Source organism: Homo sapiens, chromosome 7 (genome assembly GCF_000001405.40).
Source record: "Homo sapiens chromosome 7, GRCh38.p14 Primary Assembly".
Classification (NCBI taxonomy): domain Eukaryota; kingdom Metazoa; phylum Chordata; class Mammalia; order Primates; family Hominidae; genus Homo; species Homo sapiens.
This window is the reverse complement of record NC_000007.14, coordinates 80,478,696-80,503,830: the sequence shown is the minus strand read 5'-3', so window position 1 is coordinate 80,503,830 and position 25,135 is coordinate 80,478,696. Positions and strand designations below refer to the sequence as shown.

General features: G+C 34.2%; 1 protein-coding gene and 1 long non-coding RNA gene across 2 annotated transcripts in view, besides 1 other annotated feature; one reads left to right on the top strand and one right to left on the bottom strand.

The window, feature by feature from the left end:
* The window catches only part of LOC107986812 (uncharacterized), a 28,132-nt gene extending 10,768 nt beyond the window's left edge, over positions 1-17,364 (bottom strand). The window contains exons 1-2 of the long non-coding RNA XR_001745252.2: positions 17,244-17,364; positions 16,050-16,145 (exon numbers count right to left, since the gene is read on the bottom strand). This is a non-coding gene — a long non-coding RNA (uncharacterized LOC107986812). The remainder of the gene's footprint in view (positions 1-16,049; positions 16,146-17,243) is intronic.
* GNAT3 (G protein subunit alpha transducin 3) overlaps positions 1-25,135 on the top strand; it is a 53,430-nt gene that overhangs the window by 8,234 nt on the left and 20,061 nt on the right. The window contains exons 2-4 of the mRNA NM_001102386.3: positions 9,184-9,226; positions 15,155-15,296; positions 24,833-24,990. Of these exons, the coding sequence (NP_001095856.1) occupies positions 9,184-9,226; positions 15,155-15,296; positions 24,833-24,990 (343 nt within the window). The remainder of the gene's footprint in view (positions 1-9,183; positions 9,227-15,154; positions 15,297-24,832; positions 24,991-25,135) is intronic.
* Positions 24,764-25,058: an enhancer, noted in NCBI's record as "tiled region #1340; HepG2 Activating non-DNase unmatched - State 24:Quies". NCBI's record gives its function as "activates a minimal TATA promoter and a strong SV40 promoter by Sharpr-MPRA in HepG2 cells {active_cell/tissue: HepG2}" and the evidence as "EXISTENCE:reporter gene assay evidence [ECO:0000049][PMID:27701403]".

Here is a 25,135-nt window from a genome sequence, read left to right as displayed (position 1 = left end):
AAAATTCTTTCTTTTGCTCAATTTGTTGACCCATATTCATAAATTCCTTGTATCTGTCAGTGACCTGATCACACTTTGGGAGATCTCAAAATAATTTCCCAACTTTACTTTGCTGCCCATGTATCTTTATGTTTTCCATGAGGTGCCTTGTTATGTCCTTTCCCATTATATCCACTTGATATTTCAATCCTCCTTAGCTTTATGACTATTCCCTCTCCATTGTCCAAAAGTCAATGTTGTCACAAGATTTAGTTTTAGCTCTATCTCTATTGGCATAAATCTCATATTTTTCTCTTTACTGCTTCTGTTATTGCTTTAATCTATGAGAAAATCTTATGAAATAGATATTACTTTCATGATATAGATAAGAAGAAAATGACAACTTAAGAATATAGTTTGGTTTCCAAATATCAAATGTTTATTTACAGCCAAGCAAAGCCTTTTATTTGTATGTGTCAGTTTTAAGTTAATGTCTGCATTCTAATTTCTATGAGAACAAAGAACATATCTGCTTTTGTTCTTTATTGAATTATGGCACAGGAAAGAATGCATGTATGGTGAATGGAAGAATGACAGAATCAGAATCTAAAATATTCTTGTGATTTGTTCATGGTGGCTAGAACACAGGTATACCTTTGCATGTAGAAATGAGCTAGAAGAAAGTCATTTATATGTTATTGCATAGGAATTTTATTTTGTATCTGTAGTCAATAAGATGATATTGATAGGTTTTTTAACTATGTAACTAAAATGATAGTACTTGGCTTTTTTTAAAAAAAATAAAGACTACCCTGGCTATACTATGGCTCAAAGATTTAATGAGGAGGATAAAGGTAGGTAGGACAATTAGGAAACTGTTACTATTGTGCAAATTCTTGATGCAATTCTGAATTAATGCAGAAATTTTAAGTTTGAAAATAAGATTTGAGGAATGTTAGGAGACAAAGTGACAGAACTTGGTGGCAGACTGCATGTGGACGGTAAATGAGAGGAGTGATTGGGGTGGAATTGGTTATGGTTGATTATGTTATTCACTGGTATGTGAAATGCAGGATAAATATGAGGCTGGGGAAAAGGGAAAGGGATGATAATTTAGGATATTCAAACCTATGTTTTTTTTTTTTAGCAGGACCAAATGGATATCTATTAGATCAACATATGGGTCTGAAAATTAGGAGGGATAACTCTAGTAAGAACTACATGCTTGATAAATTCAATCCTCCATTTTCCTTATTTTATATTTTCCTTTGTCCAGATATCAGTATAGGCAAACCATGTGATTAACCAAGGCCTTTTTAAAAATCGTTGTTGCAATATGTATTTATACTAAAAAATAGTATACATGACTATTCCCACAATTAATGAACACTTAGACAAATATCTGCAACAGACCTGTGTGGGAAAAATCATGTAATTTTGTATTTTAGTGTTGTCATTTTTTAGCCTAAAAGGTATGTTAATAAGAAAAGAAAAATGAAATATCTGTTAAAATGCTTCTCACAATCCAAGAAAGCTCATATAACATTTTTAAACCACTTTATTGAGATATGCTTGATATGCAAAAGCTATACATATTTAATGTATGCCACTTGATGAGCTTGGAGATAAGTATACACCTGTGAAATCGTCACCACAATCCACACAGTAGACTTCTCCGTCACCTATAAAAGTTGTTTCCTGTCCTCTTATTTATTGTCACTATTATTATAAGAACACTTAACATAAGATCTACCCTCTTAGTGAATTTTTAAGTATCCAGTACATTATTGGTAACTATAGGCACTATAAATATTATCAGATATTTTAAAAATAAGTATAAAATGGAAAGTTGGAATATCTAAATAAAAGATCATTAAAAAGGAAAGATAGTATATAGCTACAATATTCTTTCTCATGAATGAAACATACTTAGTTTGGCTGATGAGGAATTTTACAGATTCATGATGCTTATTTTTTCTGTATCACAGAAATAGGTACTTGTAGTCATATAAGTATATCTGACACCATATGTTTACTGATATGACAAACTGAAAATCCACATTATTTATACAATATTCATCTAAAATATTTACATTGAATCTAATCAGAGAATACAGATAATTGAATATATTTAGAAAATTGTCTTAGACTTTAGAAAAATGCCAATGTCAACAAAACAAAATAACAAAAATATTACAAGGAAAATGTTATAAATTAAAAGAGCTTAAAAAGCATAACGACAAAAGAAAGTGTGAAACTTGATTGGATCATGAATACAAGAAACAAAAAAGGTATGGGAAACATTTTTTTGAAACAATCAGATAAATTTGAATATGGAGTATATAGTATTAGATAACATTTAGAATTAATATAAATTTTCTTAAGCATGCAAATAGTATTTTGGTTTTGTAGAAAAATTGTCTTATTCTTAGAAGATGCATTTCAAAATATTTATGGGTAAAATGTCTAATAAAGATTCAGCAAAACAAAACATAAAACTATGTTCATATATGTATATGTAAATGTATACATACATATGAGAAAGAAAGCAAACAGGACAAATAATTCAGAAAGGGGAAGGGTATAAAATGCGGGCTTCCATAACACTATATTCTTGAACTTCTGTAAGTTTTTAAATTAATTATCAAAATAAAAAGTTTGGGAAAAATAAACAATGTGTTTTTTTGGCAAAAGAAAATGTACAAATTTATCTGCAAATTTATTCATATTGCTTTATAAGGGAATTCTATCAAACAGTCCATGGGCAGAGCATTTCAAAATTACATAAACATTTTTAGAAAATTCTTTTCAATTTATTATTTGACAACTTTGACAACAAAATTTGACAAAGACAATGGCAGGTCAATCATCCTCACAGACATAAATATAAAAACCAAAGCCAAATATTAGCCAACCAATGCCAGCAATACATAAAATGCAAAAAGAGAAAAGGTTGGGGGGACTTTTGGGGGAAGATGGATTATCCCAACAATGCATGTTTAAAATACTACTAGAAAATCATTAACATTATTTACTACATTATCAAATTAAAAGAGAAAAATCAAAAGAATGTCAGGAGGTGCCAAAAAATAATTAAATAAAATTCCTTATCAATTCCTGATTGAAAAAACACCAATTAAAGTAGAAATAGAAGAGAATTTCCTTAGTCAGATAAACTGTAGGTACAAAAACCTTCAGTAACTATCATACCTAATGGCCAACATTTAGCATTGTTCACTAGAGATAGTGAACAAGGACTTATGATTAATAGGTTTCCTGTTAACAGAATAGACCCTAGAGTATGACATAGTTTCCTGCCCTTGACCTTCTCTTCAATACTCCTATCAGGGATTTTGGTGAAGGGGGATAAAGCAGGCATTTCAAACTTGAGATTCAGTTTGGAAGGATATAGTGACAAAACCAAGTCAGACTTCCAAATAACCTCTACTAGCAGAAATGCTTGCCGCAAATAAGCAAAATGGAATTTAATAAATATCTTTATTGAGGTTCAAAATCAATTAGATACACGTGGTTTGTGGGAGGATCTGTTTGGTAAGAGATGTGAAAAAAAGTAGAAAAACTTTAATTACCACAAGCTGAGTGTAGGCCAAAAAAAAAAAAGGAGGCAAACTAATCATGGTCTTTATTAAGAAAATTACTTATTTATAAACAAGCCCACCAGGAGTGAGGCAGGTCTAGGTGGCAGAATGTCAGTGCTGTTCATAAATCTGGTATCTACAGCATAATTTTCAGTACTGCATTTCGGAAAGACATTGGCTCTTACATGGGGTATGGTTCAGAGGACAAATAATCTAAAAATCATGTTCCACAAGAAAGGAGTAAAGGAGTGGATCATATTATACTTGAAATATTTCTTTAAAAGGATATGAGCACATTCTTCAAATAATAGAAAATACTTAAAGCTCACTATATATTAGTGTATGTTCTAGGTAATTTATATTTGTGATCTAATCCTCCCAAGTTTTAGCCCAATTTTATAATAGAGGAAACTGACTTTCAGTGAGACCAAATTTGATCAAGACACTTAGTCACAGTCAGAGATGAGTGCAAGCTCATATCTATTTAGTTCCAAAACATGATGAATCCAGCTATGTGATGGGCTGTCATGTGCAAAGGACAGAGAATTTTGATGTCACTCCATAAAAAGGAGAAATAATACATGGAACAAAATTAAGTTGGCTCAAAAGAGACTACCCTAAAAATCTTTTATACCAACAGTCTACCTGTGAATGATAAGCTGACACAGCAATACCAGTATGCCTCTGAAAGTACACTGCTTTCAAGGCCAGGTGTAGGGGCTCATGCTTGTAATTCCAGCAGTTTGTGAGACAGGCAGGAGGATTGCTTGAGGCCAGGAGGCCAAGGCTGCAGTGAGTCATGATCATGCTACTGCACTCAAGCCTGGCAACAGAGCTAGATTCTGTCTCAAAACAAACCAACAAAAAAAGTACACCGCTCTCATACTAATTTATAAAAAATGCATTTAAAATAATTTCTAAAGTGTTGAAACCATTTTGGTATTTATCAGTGCCTACTTAAAAAAGAAAGCGATATGACACAGCTTTAGTAAGAGTCAGAATACATAGTTTCTTTGTTTGAAGACAGATCTGAAACTTTGGATGATTATCATAATCTCTATTGGATTCATTTTTCTCACGCATAGACTGAAGAGATGTGCATAGCTGGTTGATTTCTAAGGTTTCTTTCTACTATACAATTATGTGATTTTTAAGACCACCTACAAAAAAAAATCTTATGTGTGATTACAAGTCACAATGTTGTAATCTCATTTTGCCTGTTTGAACAAGTCATCCAAAATGAGCAATCAAGCCTTGTGTGTGTTCAATTGAAGTTCAGTTACATGTATAAATATTGGGTAGATTTAAAATTCTTTTTAATATTTTCAGATTTAAAAATGTAGAACAGGATTCCTTACTTATTCTTATTAAAAATAAAATAATTTATGAGTATCTAAGTATGAATTAAGTATAAATTTAAATATTTAATTATTTGTAACATTATCTATTTCAAAGAAACAGATGCATATCTTGTTAAAATTCTCTTGGTACCCCTTGACCCAGAAACTAATATTAGCGATGACCACAATTTGGAAGGAAGAGATTATTTCAGGACACCATCAGCGGATGTGAACATGCTGTTATAATGTCTATATTTGGCTCTGTAACATGATCTAATCTCACAAGACTGAAATGACTATTGTGAACTATGACCTAGAATTATTGTGAGAATGGGGCTCAATAATTTATTTTTGAAATAACTTTGCAATAGAGTTCCAAATAATAAATGAGATTTTAAGTAGATAGGCTTTTCTTTAGGAATTTTCCTCTTAATGCTGTAATTGACTATACTGGACCTTTACATAGAAGACTGAAGTCACTACATAAAGCAAGGATGGTACAGACACCTTTTTAAAGGCTTTCAAGGGAAAATATTAACTTTTAATATGTAGTTTCATTTAAAAGTACATGCCATTTTTAAAAAAGTGATTGATTATTCTGCTTACCTTAAACACAGCATGAATTACCAGCTAAGTTACAAATAATTGTTATACAATAACATACCCTGTAGCCTTAGAAATACTTTTGGAAATGCCACAACTTAGTGTTATCTGTATGATTACCAAATGGCCATATTTATGAAGTACAGAAGACCATTCTGAATGTACATTAACTGACACAGTCTAAAAGTCACTTTTTTCACAAATTTATAAATTTTCAACTAGTCAATAACATATAGTGAATAAAATAAAATTCGGTTGTGATTTTTTAATCTGCCTAAAAGTGGTTCTTAATCAATAAAATATTTCTCTATAATACATATGCTGATACAATTCTAGAAAATCATTGACACACTTTTTCTCATTAGGCTCAATATCTCAAGATAGACAATTCATTTAAAAGAAAGTGGTCTAAATTATTTTCACTTTATTGTAGAAATTATATCATCTTTTAAATAAATTTAACTGACATTCAGAAATGAGACTTTTTTCTCATTTCTAGTTGAATACTTTGGTTGAACAAAATACAACATTAAACATACCTGCATGAGCAAGTACTGCAGTTCCTACTGAGCCCATTGACTTTTCTTCCACATCCCCACTGCTCTGTAATTTAAGACAGTGTGTGTGTATATATGTATGTATATACGTATATGTATATACGTATATGTATATACGTATATGTATATACGTATATGTATATACGTATATGTATATACGTATATGTATATACGTATATGTATATACGTATATGTATATACGTATATGTGTATATATATAGAGAGAGAAACAAGATATTCTGATATTCTGTCATTTGTACAGGATGATGCTAGAATTTCGAATATTCAGTTCCATTGTTAGAGATTTTAAAATAAAACCTATCAAGGACAGTTTTATAATATTATTGTATGACTTTTCCCAAAGTGATGCACTTCCTACAGCAAAATAGTGAGTTATTTAAAGCCAGCAAACCAGACTATTGTGCAAAGCTCATTCATTTTTGAATGAGTTGCCACTCTCACAAACAATTCTCAGCCATGCAAAATGATAGGGTCAGTTGTCTTCGGAAAATGGGCAAGATGATTTTATTTTATTCTCAACTGTTTCATTCTTGGGCATTGCAGCCTCTAGTAAATGAGATGGTTATACCCAATCTGTCAGTTTGTGTTTGATTATGTAAAGAAATTTTAGCAAGTTACTTTGATTTTTGCATCTATCAACTTTGTTGTCATATTTCACTATCAGTGATGGAGAGCCAACTAGCATAAAATCATGGAGAGGTGTGTTCTTGAAGTTTTCCCAAGGGAAAGAATCTATATATCACCACCAGAAAATGAAACATAATTTCCCATAGCTTTACCACTCTTATTTCCTCACTATCACATAAGGTGGACAGCTGTTTCAGACAACTGCAGAAACTAGATATATTTACATATGGCTATGACCAAAAAAAAAAAAAGAAAAGTTGTCCTGAATAGAACTAAATTTAGGTGTAGCTATATCTGTTCATCGAGGCTTAAGAAAACATTGTAAATCATGCAGAAACATTTCAGTGAGGAAAAAATGATGCGCAGTACAAAGGACAAAATCTCATTTCTGAAGTATGAGTCAAAGAATTCATTTGTTTTATTGAGATTCTACTGAGTTAGGCACTGTTCTAGGTGCTTTGGCTAAATCAGTGAACAAAGCAGATAGAGATTCTTTGCAACGTGAAATTTACTTTGCAGTGATGAAAGGAACATTTTTAAATAATATATGAATTATTCCTAAGCATGTAGAAGAAGAAAAGTGTTAGGAGAAAAGTGTTAGGAAAGAAGTGAAGGTAGAATAGGGAAATGAAGACTGAGTGGGTGAGAGTCGAATTAGAAATTTAAATAGGGTGGGTTGGGTGCAGTGGCTCATGCCTACAATCCCAGCACTTTGGGAGGCCGAGGCAGGCAGATCACTTGAGGCCAAGAGTTTGAGACTAGCCTAACCAAAATGGTGAAACCCTGTCTCTACTAAAAATACAAAAATTAACTGGGCATGATGGCGCACACCTGTAATCCCAGCTACTCAGGAGGCTGAGGCAGGAGAATCGCTTGAACCCAGGAGGCAAAGGTTGCAGTGAGCAGAGATCTTGCCACTGCACTCCAGCCTGGGTGACAGAGCGAGATTCCATCTCAAAAAGAAAGACTCTTCTGGATATTGGCCTAGGCAAAGAATTTGTGACTAAGACTTCAAAAGCAAGTGTAACAAAAACAAAAATAGGCCAATGGGACAAACGAAAAGCTCTGCACAGAAAAAGAAATAATCAACAGAGTAAACAGACGTCTAAAGAATGGGAGAAAACATTTGCAAGCTATGCATCAAACAAAGGACTAATACCCAGAATCTACAAGGAATTCAAACAACTCAACGAGAAAAAAGCAAATAGCTCCATCAAAAAGTGGGCAAAGGACATGAACAGATATTTTTCAAAGAAGACATACAAATGGCTAACAATCATGTAAGAAAATGTTCACTACAACTAATTGTCAGAGAAATGTAAATTAAAACTACAGTGAAGGCCAGGTGCAGTGGCTCACACCTGTAATCCTGCACTTTGGGAGGCTAAGGCAGGCAGATCACGAGATCAGCAGATCCAGACCATCCTAGCCAACGTAGTAAAACCCGTCTCTACTAAACTACAAAAAATTAGCCAGGCATGGTGGCATGCGCCTGTAATCCCAGGTACTCGGGAGGCTAAGGCATGAGAATCACTTGAACCCAGGAGGTGGAGGTCGCAGTGAGCTGAGATCACGCCACTGCACTCCAGCCTGGTGACAGAGTGGGACTCGATCTCAAAAAAAACAAAAACAAACAAACCAAAAAAAAAAACTACAGTGAGAGACCACCTTACACCAGGTCAAAATGGCTATTATTAAAAAGTCAAAAAACAACAGATACTGGCAGCGATGTAGAGAAAAGGGAACACTTACACAATGTTGGTGGCATGTAAATCAGTACAACCTCTATGAAAAAATAGTATGGATATTTCTCCGAGTTAAAAATAGGACTACCATTTGGTCCAGCCATCCCACTACAGCATATGTACCCAAAGAAAAACATTATTTTTAAAAGGCACTTGCACTTGTATGTTTATTGCAGCACTATTTATAATAGCAAAGTCATGGAATCAACCTAAGTGTCCATCAATGGAAAATTGGACAGAGAAAATCTGATATATATAATTGAATACTACTCAGCCATTAAAAAAAAAATCATGTCTTTGATGTCTTTGCCAGCAAATGGATGGAACTGGAGACCACTATCTTAAGTTAAACAATTCAGAAACAGAAAGTCAAATACCGTATGTTCTCACTTATAAGTGGGAGCTAAACAGTGCACACACATGGACATAAAGAGTAGAATAATAGACACTGGAGACTTGGAAAAGTGAGAGCATGAGAGGGAGGTGAGGAATGAAAAAAATTACCTGTTGGGTACAATGCACACTATTCAGATATTGGGTAAACTAAAAGACCAGACTTCACCACTATGCAGTTTATCCATGTAACAAAACTGCACTTGTACCCCCTAAACCTATTAAAAAAAATTAAAGATTATCCATGAAAAGTGATAGTTTTTAATATCTATTCAAATTTGGTATATCAGTTAATAATATTCCTCTTTTTATGTTGCAGGAGCAGGAGAATCTGGGAAAAGTACTATTGTTAAACAAATGAAGTAGGTATACATCTGTCTCAAGTGTTTAATATTTGATGTCTGTCCATGTATTTGACCATTCTTAAAATACATGCTTTTGTAAATGCTGATTGACAATCTTTTCTAAATCATGGATCATAGAGTGGTCATAGTTCCTGTGCAAATATACCTTGTATCCTTTAGCAGAAAGTGTAGCAGATGAATAATATTATAATTTCCATTTTTTAAAATGTGCCTCTCAATAAGACAAATGCTTAAAGCATTATATTTTAGTCATATTAATCTGGGGATATCAAGGACTTTATAATCTGATCATTAACGGTAAATATTTTAAAATGTCAATCAATCATATATTTGATTTTTTGAGGAAACAGTATTTTTAACCTCATTAGCATTTTGCCTACCTGGGAATAAAATGCTTAATTACTATCATGAATTGTGATGTATTTTTGCATTTGTTTCTCTACTTTTTCCTTTTTATAATGAAATAACTAGACCTGAATTCCTTAATAAGGAAATAATGACAAAAGAATGCAGTGTCTACCTGAATAAAAAGGTAATTGATAAGTAAAGGTAAATGGGTGAAACCTCATGGCTTTGTTACTGCTAGAGAATTTTAAAGGATAATTGTGGCTAAAAAGAAGTAAAAGAAGAAGCAGAAGAAACAGAAGCAGCAGCAACAACAGCAGGAAGAGAAGGAGGAGGAGGAAAGGAGGAGGAGGTGCAGAGAGGAGGAGGAAAGAGGAGGAGGAGGAAAGAGGAGGAGGAGGAAAGAGGAGGAGGAGGAAAGAGGAGGAGGAGGAAAGAGGAGGAGGAGGAAAGAGGAGGAGGAGGAAAGAGGTGGAGGAGGAAAGAGGTGGAGGAGGAAAGAGGTGGAGGAGGAAAGAGGAGGAGGAGGAGGAAAGAGAAGGAGGAGGAACAAAGAGGAGGAGGAGGAAAGAGGAGGAGGAGGAAAGAGGAGGAGGAGGAAAGAGGAGGAGGAGGAGGAAAGAGGAGGAGGAAGAGGAAAGAGGAGGAGGAGGAAAGAGGAGGATGAAGAGGAGGAGGACCATTTTTGAGCATATTTTTAAATTATATGTTAAAGGATCTTGTTCTTTGGGCCATATTTTATAAGGGAGTGATGCCTGCCAGTCAATAATGAAATTGGTTTCAATCTAAGACACTGTTTTCCTTTTATGTGATAATCTCATGTAAGTTTTATATCAACCAATATTTAAGCTTCACTTATCTGCAACCAAACACCTGATCTTTCCTACTGTCTCTGAAGAACAGAGCTCCTTTATTCTGTTCCCTGGGATTGCACCATTTTTGAGTTTTTAGGACCATCCTTGCAACTAAGTCATCTGGCATTCATTTATAACATTTCCACAGTATCTGCCTGCTCTTGTCTCCCAGGCTGTGATCATGCTTGAACCTCTCTTTTTTCATTTCTCCATTCTCTATGAGCTTAAATAAAGAAAAAAAAAGACCAATTATTTGGCTGCGTAAAAAATAAAACTTTTAAATATAGTAAACCGTAAATAAAATTAAGCCAAAATTAGAGAACAAGAAAAAATTTATAATAAATATGATAAATAACTGGTGACTAGTATATAAAGGCCCATAGATTGCTAAGTAAAACAATAAGCTTCCCAATATACATAAATGGGGATAGGCTATGAATAGAGAGTATAGAAATGACAAAATTCAATAGATAATGTATTTTAGTGTAACCTTATTATAAAAGTTAAAAATCAGATCACTAATGAGGTAATTTTTCATTGTAGTAAATTGACAAACAATAATTTTAAAAAATTACCCAATAATAATGAGATTTTGAGAAATGGATATTTTTAATTGCTATTTGTAAAATTATATATTACAGAGAATTTATAAAAATAATATCTTTAATATACATAGTAAGCTGGGAAAATTATTGATCTAAATATGTTTCTGAGAATTGTCAAAAGTAATAAAATATGCATAGGCATGAAAATAAAATAATTCAATAATATAAAAGCCTGTATAAAAGGCTTATATCACTATTTAAGATAATGAAATATGGGATAGAATAAAGTGCCACAAATTAAAATAAAACATAAGCAATTAGGTTGCAAAGTTACAGGACTATTCATTCTTCAATTGCAATATTATATAACTATTACAAATCATGTATTAATCTCATGTATATGAGAAGGTTTTAATATGAGAAAATGCTATGTTTACTAAAAAAACAGGTTACAAAATTGCATTAACATTTTATTTTTTATTTTATTTTATTTATTTATTTAATTTATTTATTTGAGAAAGGGTCTCGCTCTGTCGCCTAGGCTGGAGTGCAGTGGCACAATCTTGGCTCACTGCAACCTCCACCTCTCAGGTTCAAGCAATTCTCCTGCCTCAGCCTTCTGAGCAGCTGGGATTACAGGTGCCTGCCACCATGCCCAGCTAATTTTTTTTTTTTTTTTTTGGTATTTTTAGTAGAGTTGGGGTTTCACCACATTGGCCAGGCTGGTCTCGAACTCCTGACCTCAAGTGATCCACCTGCTTCAGCCTTCCAAAGTGCTGGGATTACAGGCATGAGCCACTGTGCCCGGTGCATGAACATTTTAATCTCAAGTATGATCAAATAGATACTTTTTTAAAATGAGAGAGCATTTACCAGTATTCAAATAAATTTTCTCTCAATAGTGGAATTTAAAGTTCAAAGCACCTTTGCTTTTTAATATTGTTAGGCTTTTCACATTTTCTACAATGAGCACTTCTTTTATTATTTAAAAAGAGCAAGTTTCCTGTTCTGCTTTGTCTTTCCTTTTCTCAGTAGAATTTCTGTAGAAAATAATCAAAATTAGCTCTCTTTACTTTCCACTTTCAGCCATTTTCATCACACTTTTGCCTCTGGTAAGTTGCAGAAGTTGCCCTTACGAAGATTATTTATTATGTCATCTTCGAATAGCCATTTTATTTGAAGTCTCCTTAAGTCCTTATGTTAATTCCAGATGACATCACTTTTCTCACTTAAAACTTTTCTTCAGCTTCTAGAACTCTTTCCCGGTTCGTCTAACTATCTCCTTTATTCTTCTAACTCTATCTCTGACTACATTTAAAATGTTAGTGTCTCTACTGTACCAGGAGATGCTGGCACTTCTCTACTTACTCTGCACCTTCATCAAAATGAAAACTGCTAGAGTTCTATGATTTTCACCAGAATCTTCAAGCTGACTGTTTCAGAATATTTCTTTCAAACTCACACACTTTGTCTAAACTAGAGAGGCAGATACATCTACTGCTATATTCTCTGGCTAGGTCCAAATCAGAATAAACATTAAACTTATCTCCCATCTGGCCTCTATCGCCCTAAAATTAATTACAACAACGCCAGCCTACAACGCAATAAATCTCAGCATAGTTATGCTAAGCCTTCACCCTTTTACCAAGTCATGCCACATCTACACAATTTGTCTCCAAACATGTCATTGATCTCCATTGGTCATCATTTCTGACCTAGATTAATTCAGTATCTTCCTAAGGAGCTTCTACCTCCCTTCTCTTCCCTTCATTGCATTATCCACACTGCCATGAACTGATCCATTTAAAGCTGATTTTATCTCCTGAATTCAACTCTTCACCCTTGCTGTCAAGATCAATCTCCTTGCCATGGCACACAAGACACTGGAGCCCAGTTCTTGCCGATGTCTTCATCCTCCTGTCCTGTAATTTCTCCCCTACTTCCTGCTTCACTAATGCTGACCTTTTATAAGTCTGTAGACTAACACACTATAGAAGGCTGAGCATCATGGCTAAGATCATGGACTGTACATCAGATTGTGTTTGTGGCCCAGGTGTATCACAAACTAACTGAATAAGTTGGGGGTATTTGCTTAATTTATCTATGCTGACATTTCTTACTTATAAAATGTAGATCATAATTGTATCTACTTTAAAGGGCTTATTGTAAGAAATAAGACAGATGAAGTGCTTACAATAGTGCTTGGCACATATTGAACACTTGAAAATTGTGAGCATCTATTTGCTCATACTGATCTTTCTTCCTACAATGATTCTCTCTCCTTTTGACCATCTAGGAATAACTATCCTTGAACAATCAGCTGATTATCACTGCTTCCGGGATGTCTTCTTTGATACCTTACACCTAGTAGAGTTTATCACTTTTTCTTTTCTATAGCATCTTACTATATGCAGAGTTTGTTCCTATGCATTATCATAATGTTTAAAAATCTCTTTATATGCTCTGCCTTCTTATAACTCAGTCCTCTTCAACAGAACTTTGTGGGATGATAGGAAAGTTCTCTATTTTGCCTTGAAATATGGCAGCTGCTAGCCACATGTGGCTTTAGTAGCCACTTGAAATGTTGATAGTGTGATTGAGAAACTAAATTTTTAATTTTACTTAATTTTAATTAATCATCTAGTGACTAATGTATTATACAGAGGAGCTCTAGTCTATGGTTTTGGGAAGGAGAGACTTGTATAATGTATTTCTTTAACACATAACACAGTATGTCACAGAAAATGCACAGTAAAAGCTTATTAATTTCAACAGACCTCAGAACCAACTTTGCAGTTGGAGTGCTCTATCTCACTGAAATTTATATATGCATCTCCTGGAAAAACGATGTTGTTTAAAGTCCCACTTCAACTGGACATTTTAACTTCTGTTTTTATCATTTTTCTTTGTGATAAATGTTTCTTCATCTTCTCATAGTAATCAGAACTTGTTTCATGAAGATAACCTAAGTGCCTCATGTTTATTCACAGTTGCCATTTTAATAATAATTTTCCAAGTTCAATTTGACAGAAAACTGGGATTTCTTTAATAAACTTATTCTTGATCTATCCATAAAGACATTTTACTGCATTTTTTTCTACAGCCTTTGTCTATTTTATTTACTTATGTAAGTTATTTAATGGTTTAATGCAGCAAGACAAACATGACCATGTTTAAAGTAGAAGTTCAGCAATGATTTGTAATCAAATATAAAAAACAACAAATAACAAATATAGGCTGTGCCTTTACTCCTTTCAGTTCAGATTTCTTGTATAGGAAGCTTCTAATATCTTCAAAGACATTAAAGAGGTGTTTATGCTCTTTTCCCCCCATGCTAAAGCCTTTATACGTGTAGACACAATATAAATCTTTAGTAATATGACATCCAAAAAGATGCCTAATGAATACAAAGGACTTCAAGACAATAAGAGAAAATAGAAAGGAACAAAAAAAATTATACAATAAAGATGCAAAAATACGTAACTGGCATATCTAACGATTTTAGCTTTTGATAGGTAAATCTATTTTAAGCTATTATTCGAAAACTACTAGTAAAATCTTGAGTTTGGCTGAATGAGTGGAAGGTAGAGAAGAGTTCAGCCAAATAAAATGTCAGGCATTTCAACTTTTATAACTCAGTGGCACGTACACAGATGGAGAACTGACAAGAAATTTAACAGGGCAATTACGTGTACTAAAAAAGATGCCTTTGTTAATGCTGTAAATAGAAAGCAGGCACTCCTATTTTTCAGCATGATAGGAAAAGTCATGAATGTTCTAAATGACTTCGCTTCCTCTAGACATCAGGTTGTAAACACAAGGTCAAGTTTCAAACTCTGTATATATCTTTGTCCTGGGAATCTAGAAATTTTTCTCTTAAAAAAATAGACTTTCTAAGTATAATGCTTATGATTTACCCATTTTAAAAAAGTATTTTTAAATAACAAATCCTAAGTCTTTTCATATTTATCATGGGTAGCCCAGAAAGAAAATACTGTATAAATGACAATGATAATAAAAGTCCAAAGGCATAAAATTGTTTAGAGTTAGCATATATGTATGGTCAAAATTCCTTTTTAATGAATATATACTGTAATTTTATTCAAGCAACTTAGTTGGATGTGCTTTAGTGTTACAATCAATTATTCAACTCACAGAAACTTTTCATGTTTAAATTATAGGATCATCCATAAGAATGGTTACAGTGAGCAAGAATGCATGGAGTTCAAAGCAGTAATTTACAGTAATACATTGCAATCCATCCTAGCTATTGTGAAAGCCATGACTACCCTTGGAATTGATTATGTAAATCCCAGAAGTGCAGTAAGTATGCAAATAATGACAGCTGTATGTCCTGCAATAGAGTTTGAGCCATAAAATAAGAGGACTTAATAAGTTCATAGTATTAATCTATATCCAAAATTTAAAAATATGAAACATGAATTTTGAAACATTAATTCTGTTTTGTGTAAGATTTCTTATTTTCCTTGAAGTGAAACTTTTTTACTATATACTGTAATATTATTCAACATTAGTTGTTTTCCTGAGGATTAAACTTAATATCAAATAATACACCATAACAAATAAAAATATTGCTTGTGATTGCTAAATACAAAAGAATTTATGGCATAAACACAATTTGCAATATCTCTACATTAATTTTTTTAGTTATGCCATTTCAAAGAGACTAAAAAATGTTTAATAACATAACAATTATAATTAATGTTTGACGATGATTACAAGGTCTGTGTGGCAACAGGGAAATGATTACTTGATAAGTTTTTTTTTAAAAAAGAATTCAAATTGTAGGAGTAAGCAAATGTCTGTATATCAAGTATATTCAAGTAGTCATAGTTCCGTTTGTAAGGTAGCAACAAAATTATTTTCTCCCTACTTTATATTTTGCTATCTAATTATTTTACATTAAATTATATTTGAAATCCACTTACTTTAAAAGTTTATAGGCAGACATATAAAATTATTTGGCAAATGAAACTTACAGTATTATCCAAAGAACCACAGTTGACCCCACCCAAAAAAAAGAGTAACGGAGTAGAATCCACAAGAAGAACTCACCCACTTCCATATGTCCCCTCCAGGAGCAGCTGGGCATCTGGTTACCTCCAGAGGATGCCAGTTGAATGCCTACCAACGTAATTCTTGGAAACCTTGCTATAGAAACAATAAAAATAGAGAGCAAAAGCATAGTAAGGATAAAGAAAGAGGAGTCATTTGAACTCCCTCCCCCAGCTTAGTGGACCTTTTAAATGACCACTGGATCTTGTAAATGACCACCAGAAATCATTACAATTAAAACAAAAACAAAACAAAACAAAGCCTTTTCTGTGCTCTTAATGTAAAGAAAGGGGAAATCCCCCTTTTTCCTGTCACTTTTCTTCAAAGAACAAGGAAATGCTAAGTATGGCCTTCAGGCAGATAGTTTATAAAGCAAGGAGTCAGGTATTTTACTGATTCCCATTTCTAGCTTTCTCCACAGTTTGCTCCAATCTATCTCTCTGGCTACAGTTTCCCTCTCATGTGTAAAAGGGGAACTTGGAGGAGTCGAACTCCAAGATCCTTTTATTCTTTATCTCTCTCTGACTTAGTGATCATGTTCTTATTTAAGTGTAGTTCAGTTATGGATCTGACCTTGGCTTTTCCTAAGAACGTAGGATTTTAAATTGGCTCTTAAGAAACAACATAGTATACCCACCTTAATTTAAAAAAAACAAGGCTCAAAGATTAGTTGGTTTACATTAAGTAGCTCAAGTTTATGGAAAAATCCACTTCTCCTGGATTCCATTATAGTGCTTTTTGCTATTCAAGGATTTAATGATTAGAAATATTTATTTTTTCCTCTTAGGCAATAATAGTTACAAAAATAGACGTACCCTCTGAATTCCTTTGAGAATGATTTAATGATGTTTAAATTTGTAGATGCAATACGGTATTCCATGCATTTGTGTCAGAGAAGTTGGAAATCACAATCTTGCCTATTGCTACTTATTTAAATAGACTGTGTCTTTCATAGAACCCAGAGTTTGTGAAACAGTGACGCTCTGATCACTAAATACTTGATATTTGACCAGATATGGTGTCTCATGCCTATAATCTCAACATCTTGGGAGGCTGAGGCAAGAGGATCGCTTGAGCCCGGGAGTTCCAGACCAGTCTGAACAATATAACCAGACACTGTATCTATAAAAAAAAAAAAAAAAAAAAAAAGGAAAAGAAAAAGAAAAAAAAATAGCTAGGCATGGTGGTGTGTACCTGTAGTCCCAGCTACTTGGGAGGCTGAGGTGGGAGATTCACTTGAGCTTGGGAGGTTGAGGTTGCAGCAGCTGTGATGGCGCCACTGCACTCCAGCCTGGGCAACAGAGCAAGACCCTGTCTTGAAAAAAAAAAAAGTGAGATGAGAGATTTATTAGTAAAAGTCTTAATGAGTTGACATATAGGGGAAGTGAAAATAATAAACTCTACACATTGCTGCCATCATGCTAATTAAAAAATAAAAGTACAGTTCATTCAAACTGTACATTGAATGGCATAAACAGATCAACTTAAGCAGCACTTAGCCATTGTCATAACTTCTCAAGAGTACCTATATTCTCAACTATCAGAACATCACAGTTGTCAGGCACGACATAGTTCATATTTTGATTTCCACTTATGTGAACTCTATCAGTTTCAGCTGCATTCTAGTACTTGGTTTTGAGATTAATATACTCTTGACCTGTTTAAAATTGTTTATTTAACAGATTGATTGCTAAACACTACCTACATGTGACTTTCAGAGTTCTGGTTAGCTCTCAATTATTTATTTATACAAGTGCATATACTTTTATATAGCCATTTGCACATCATCACACAGATTGCCAAAGAGAGAAGTTCTGATAGAAAATTTATGTGAGCTTTATTAGTCACTGGGTCTATAAGTTTGGACAAGTTAACCTCTCTAAATTTCAGTGTCTGCTTCCACAGAATGTTATGGCTTTCCTCCTTGAGTTACAATGACTATTAAAGAAGGAAGCAAAAACATAAGAAATCCACTATATACAGAGTATTATAGAATGTACATTTTCAGTAAATATTAGGTATTATTTTTCAATATTTATTTTGAATATAGGATCATTAAAATTTAGGTAGTGAAATCTATACATCCAACATCATTTGAAAAAATTATTTTTTATTAAACTATTATTTATGTGGTAGACATTTAGTTGGACACCGGGGATGTAGTGAGGGCTCAGCAGTAACTGAGATGGAAATAATATTTGTCATCAGGAGAGGAGAGCTTGATGTTTAACAAGTAACTACAAATATGCTATTTCAAAAAGGCTGTGCAGCTATATGTGGAGCTCAATCCTTGCTTAAAGAAGGAATTACTAAGAAGGGGAACACTAACATTAAATGAGGATGGAAAAGAACTAATTAGTTTGGTTTTGGAATGAGTTTGTAAGTTCTATTTGATATCTACATATGTAAGCAATTACAAATGTGCATTTGAAGCCCAAAATGGACACTTTGTCTAGAGATCTAAATCTAGGTGTTATTGGCATGCCATTATACTATGGCATATAATTCATACTAAGAAAGTAGGATGGAATAGGTGAAGGAAGCACTTAGATTAAGAAGGGAAGGGTATTAGGGATAACAGAGTCTAGGGAAGAGTGTTAAAAAAAAAAAACACACAATATTTTCTGCTCATTTGTTAGGAAAAGAACCTTCAAGGGAGAGGACAGAAGAGTAAAAGGAAATCAGAAGTATGCGAAATCACAGAATTCAAGAGAAGTGTTCCAAAGGGAATTATCCACATTGAAAGGTCTTGAGAGGTCAAGAAAGGAAACTATTAAATAGAATCTATTGGATTTAGAAATATGGAGCCATTGGGAATATAGTGAGAGAGGTTCCAGAAGAATGGTGGACTCCTACTCCTGTGGAATATGTGGAGAAATGAGAATAGGCTATTGGAACAGTTAAGGACAATATTTCAGGACCTATAGCCAAGGAGTAGGAGAGAGATGGGATATGTAGTTAGAGGGGAAGCAGCTAAATCGGGATTGTTCTTATTGGTTGTGGTTTAGTATTTGATAGGCTTAGAATTTCCTAAGCATAGAACTTGAAAAGAGGGTTAACAAACCCTCTTTTTTTGTTACCTATGTAACAAACCTTCATATCCTGAAGAAATAGGAAAGGAGAAATAATGAAGATATTTAGTAAATATCTACTTATCCTTTTGAATATTATTATATCCTATTTTGGAGCATATAGAATCCACTCAACTGACATAAAAGAATGCTGAAAATTGTAACACTTTTACTACATAATTTGAGCACTGTTGTAATCATCTTGGACATAGAACCCTACAAAGTAAACTCTACAATATGAACCAAAAAGCACTGATTCCTCAAGATGTTCTACAATTGAAGTTCTGTGATTAGATTTGTTTGGTATATATGCGTCCAATAACTTGGAAATTTTCAACCAATATTACTACTCAAAGATTCTGAAAACCGAGTAGCCACAAAACATGGTATTTTTAACTCAGCATTTCTCACAATTACTAGGTAAACTATATAGTCTTCCTTTCTTTTGATATTTTTTTCATGATATTTGGAAATATGACTCTAGGGTTCAGAATAAGTTCCACAAAGTTCTAAGACCACCTGGGATCCCTAATATTAACGATGAAGTTCTGAGTAATCTGTAGGGAAAACACATATTTTATTTTCTATACAATGTAGTCCCAAAGTTACACAATCTTAAGAGAATGAAGATGAGTTGATAGGTGCAGGAAACCACCATAGCACATGTATACCTATGTAACAAACCTTCATGTTCTGCACATGTATCCCAGAACTTAAAGTAAAATAAAAATGATGAGTAAATAAAATAAATATTCTTTAAAGAGAGAGAGAGAGAGAATGAGCCATTCCAGGCCCACTGTAATTCCCAAGCTTTTCCAAATACCTCATAGGGAAATAAAACTTCTTTGGGATGCCACTCAAATCCACAGGGTGTTATTTGAAAAATGTGGCAGAAAGGATGATTAGAGAAGGCTTCATTGAGGAGGTGGTATTGGGAAGAGACTTGAGTGAAAAAGGAAGTGAACCACCGAAGGACATGGAGGCAACAACCACTGAAATGCGCTGAAATGAGGGCTTGGTGAGTTCAAGGAGCAACAAATTGTTCAGTGCATCTTGAGTCTTGGTGGCAGGGAGAGAAAGGGAGAAAGGAGGGAAAGAGGGGATCAAAACATGTAGAACCTTGTGAGTCACAGTAAGGGATAAGGGATTTGGGTTTTATGTTGAGTTTTGAGTTTGGTGAGAAATTACTAGAGTTTTTAAAATATAACAATAAAATAGGAGTTAAGTGTTCGATCAGTTTGGCCGTTATGAGGAAGCTAAGTTTTCATAATACCTATACATTTTGGTGTTATATATTTTAAAAATTCACATTTGATGGGTAGGCTCAATCCTTTAAAAGCTTTAAGGAATTTTAAATTTAAAGAATTGTAATTCTTTAAATTATACCAGCTTTTCAATAAGCACAGAAGAACATCAAGAATGGAAATACACTATGTTCAATAAAGTGTTATTTATGGTTAAAAAAATAACAACTGTATATTGCCAGAAATTCTTAATGCAGTCAGAACAGTTGCGTCACCTTGAAGCTTTTAAAAACTACCTTTGCAGGGCCTGACATGCAAGGATGCTGATTCATTTTGTTTGGGTTGCAGTTCTGCTATCAGTACTTTTAAGGGTACACCATATGCTTGTAATGTGCAGCCTGGATTGAAAATCATTACCGTAGGCTCCAACTATGCACGCACAAATTTAAAAAGTAAAAGGTCTGGAGACACAAAAACCAACCTGATAGGATAACTTGCCTTTGTAGGAGGTAGTAGGATTGAAGTGGTCAAGGGAGACTTTGTAACATTGAAGTGTTTAAACTAGAACTATATTCATGATACCTCTACAAATAAAGTATATTGAAATTAAAAATAGAATATTTTTTTAAAAAGGAAGGACAGGTATGGTGGTTCACGCCTGTAATCCTAGCACTTTGGGAGCCCGAGGTGGGCAGATCATGAGGTCAAGAGATCGAGACCATCCTGGCCAACATGGTGAAACCTCGACCCTACTAAAAAAAAAAAAAAAAAAAAAAATTACAAAAATTAGCTGGGTGTGGTGGTGTGCACCTGTAGTCTCAGCTACTTGGGAGGCTGAGGCAGGAGAATCGCTTGAAAGTGGGAGGTGGAGGTTGAAGTGAGCCTAGGTTGTGCCACTGCACTCCAGCCTGCATGACAGAGCAAGACTCCGTCTCAAAAAACAAACAAACAAACAAACAAAAAAACAAAAAAGAAAAAGAAAGAAAAAAGAAAAAGAAAATAAGAAAGAAAAACAGAAAGAAATGAAACAGTATATTTGTTTGGTTTGTAAAGCTATGCTGACAAGATATATAATTTTTTCTCCTTAGGGATAAAACTGTGTAGTGGTTGTTTTATGGCATCATTCCTCCTAAACAGCACTTTAATAGTGGAAGGAGCCAATAGCATGATGCTAGTGAAAGTGACCAGAGCATATTTCACTGAACTTGCAGTTCTCTTTCATATCCATTTAACAGAGAAATGGGGTTTTAAAAATCTATCCTGTGTTGATGCAGGAAAATCAGGTTGAGACTTGATATGGCCATTTGTTGACAAAAAAGCCAAACTCCGTAAAATACTTGAAGAGATTTATTTTGAGCCAAATGTGAGGGCCATGACCCATGGCACAGCCTCAGGAGGTCCTGAGAACATATGCCCAAGGTAGTTAAGTTATTGCCTGATTTTATACATTCTATGGGGATTAAAGTTACAGGCAGATATCAGTCAATACATGCAAGGTCCAGAAAGGCAGGACAATTTGAAGCGGGACCTTCCAGTCATAGGTGGATTCAAACATTTTCTGATTGGTTGAAAAGAATTAAGTTATTTTCTGATTGGTTGAAAGAATTAAGTTATTGTCTAAAGGCCTAGAATCAGTAGAAAGGAGTCTCTAGGTTAAGAGTCTGTGGAGACCAAGGTTCTTATTATGTAGATGAAGCCTCATAGGTGGCACCCTTAGAGGCAATAGATGGCAAATATTTCCTATGTAGACCTTTAAAAAGTGCTAGACTTTCAGCTAATCTCACCAGGATCAGAAAAGGCCTTGAAAAGGGAAGGGGCTTCTCTACACAATGTAAACTTCCCCCACAAAAGACAGCTTTTATTTTCTTGTTATTTTCTTTTATTCTTTTATATATGCCAAAAAAATATATTTGGGGGTAAAATAATTTCTTTCAGGGCCTGCTCTATACTGGAGTCAGTTTGGAATTTGGAATCTTATTGCTATAAAGATTCTGTTTTATCAGTCCTAAGATCTCTGTTTCAATGTTAATGCGGGTGAGTTATGCCTGAATTCCAAAGGGAGGAGGGCCTAATGAGGCATGTCTGACCCCACCCTTCCTATCACAGCCTGACCTAGTTTTTCAGGTTTACTTTGGAATTCTGTTGGCCAAGAGGGATTTCTGTTGGTTGCGGGGCTTAGAATTCTGTTGCTTGGGGGACTTAGAATTTTGTTTTTGGTTTACACATTGAATATGTGGACCAATGACCATCTGATCAGTTTACTTTTAACAATAAAAGCTGATTGTGAAGAAAGATAGAATAAGTTATTTTCTTTTTTTACCCTTACCAGTGTCTCTTTAACAATAAGTGACATATCCTTATTTTTTATACAAAGAACAGATTTTTGATAAAATGGTAGAAAAAAACTGTAGTCAATTCAAAATAATAATAAGCTGAGTTGTATCAGAAAAGCAGCAAGTTCTTATTGAACATACTTCACTGGTAGTGTCAGAGGCATTTGAACCAGAGCAACTTCATCTTAAATAGGAGCTGAGGAAAATGAGAATGAGACCCACTAGGCTTCATTCCCAGACAGTTAAGGCATTCTAAGTTACAGGGTGAGATAAGGAGGTCGGCACAAGATGCAGGTCATAACGACCTTGCTGATAAACAGGCTGCAGTAAGAAGCTGGCCCAAACCCACCCAAACCAAGATGGCCATGAGAGTGACCTCTGCTTGTCCTCACCGCTATACTCCCACCAGCACCATGACAGTTTACAAATGCCATGGCAATGTCAGGAAGTTACCCTATATGCTCTAACAAGGGGAGGCATGAATAATCCACCCCTTGTTTAGCATATCATCAAGAAACCACAAAAATGAACAACCAGCAGCCCTCGGGGCTGCTCTGTATATGGAGTAGCCATTCTTTTATTCCTTCACTTTCTGAATAAACTTGCTTTCATTTTGCCCTATGGACTCGTCCTGAATTCTTTCTTGTGTGAGATCCAAGAACCCTCTCTTGGGATCTGGATTGGGACCCCTTTCCTGTAACAGTAACAGCCTGACATGGCACAAAATGCGCTTGTATTTGACTCTTATTCTGATACTTATTGTATTTACTGGTTTACTCGTTTCTAAAACTCTGAGTTTTAGATTCCTCACATGTAAAATGGAGAAAATATAGTGTCTATCTCATGGTTGTGAGGATTATGTGTGATATTGCATGTGCAGTTTTGTAAATTGTAATAATATGCACTAGGAGGGTTATGAGCTAAAAAAGATATCAGTTTTAGAGGCTGACAACAAGGTTGAGTTCAGACTTCTCCATTTGCCTGGGCTATTACCACAGTCAATTTAGTTATTCTGAAACTCAACATCTTAATTTTTTAAAAAATGATTTGTCATAAAGCTATTTTGATTATTTGTTTAAATAAATTGCAGACTATAGTATTTACTCAGTAAACTTCTATTTCCTTCTTTGCTGGTAACCTCCAAATGTTATCCCAACAGGACTAAGACAATAATTCCTTGCTTTGCATAAAAAACTCTCACCTCTGTCCTACTGATTTGTTCCAAAGGCATATGCAATCAACAATGCCTACAGGGATGTTCAAAAATATTATGTGGATCCAAATGTTTACCATTCTTTATATGATTACGAGGCAGTAACCCGATGACAAAAAAACATTATATATTAATTTTTTGAAACAATACAATTTTAGAATAATGAATTTATTTCCATTTTTACTCTAATTTTTTTTTTTTTTTTTTTTTGAGACAGGGTCTGGCTCTGTCACCTAGGCTGAAATGTAGTGGTGCAATCTCTGCCCACTGCAACCTCTGCCTCCCAAGCTCAAGCAATTCTCCCACCTCAGCCTCCCAAGTAGCTGGGACTACAGACATGTACTACATCCCTGACTAATTTTTTTGTAGAGAAAAATTTTGCCATGTTGCCCAGGCTGGTCTCAGACTCCTGGGCTCAAGTGATCTACCCACCTCGGCCTCCCTAAGTGCTGGGATTATAGGCGTTAGCCACCATGCCCGGTCTACTCTAATTTTTACTTGGCTTTTTTTTTCTAGAAAAATTCATGGCGATGATTAAAAAAAGAAGAAGATACCAGATTAAATCAGCTTAATTTTTATTTTACCTTGGTATAATATGTAGACCTTTTGCAAACTTAGTATGACTACAGCAAAGTATTATTATCCTCCTTGATATCATATTCAGAAGTCAGTGACATATTTCAAAATATGCTAATTTCTTCACATAATATTTTATAGTTTTTGCAAAGGAGAACTCTTCTGGGCATCATCCAGCCATGAAAAACTTTAGTTCTATTTACCTCAATATAGTTCAAAAAGATGTTTGGTGGAATTATTAGCTAAAAGAATAAGATTAAAATTATCCCAGTAAATTACTCTATTAGAAAATAGAATATGTGATTCCAAATAATACATACTTATTCTCACCAAAATATTGTTCTAGGAGGACCAACGACAACTTTATGCAATGGCAAATACCCTGGAAGATGGTGGCATGACACCTCAACTGGCTGAGGTAATAAAACGGCTGTGGAGAGATCCAGGAATTCAGGCCTGCTTTGAAAGGGCATCTGAATATCAGCTCAATGACTCAGCAGCTTAGTAAGTGAATTCACTTTAAGGGGAATTGGAGGTAAAACATTTAAAATTAAGAATTATAATTCTGCATACTTTGCATTTGTAAATTCAAATGAGGAAAATAAATGGTGTTACATTTTATTAGAGTAAAATAAAAAGCAATTAAAGA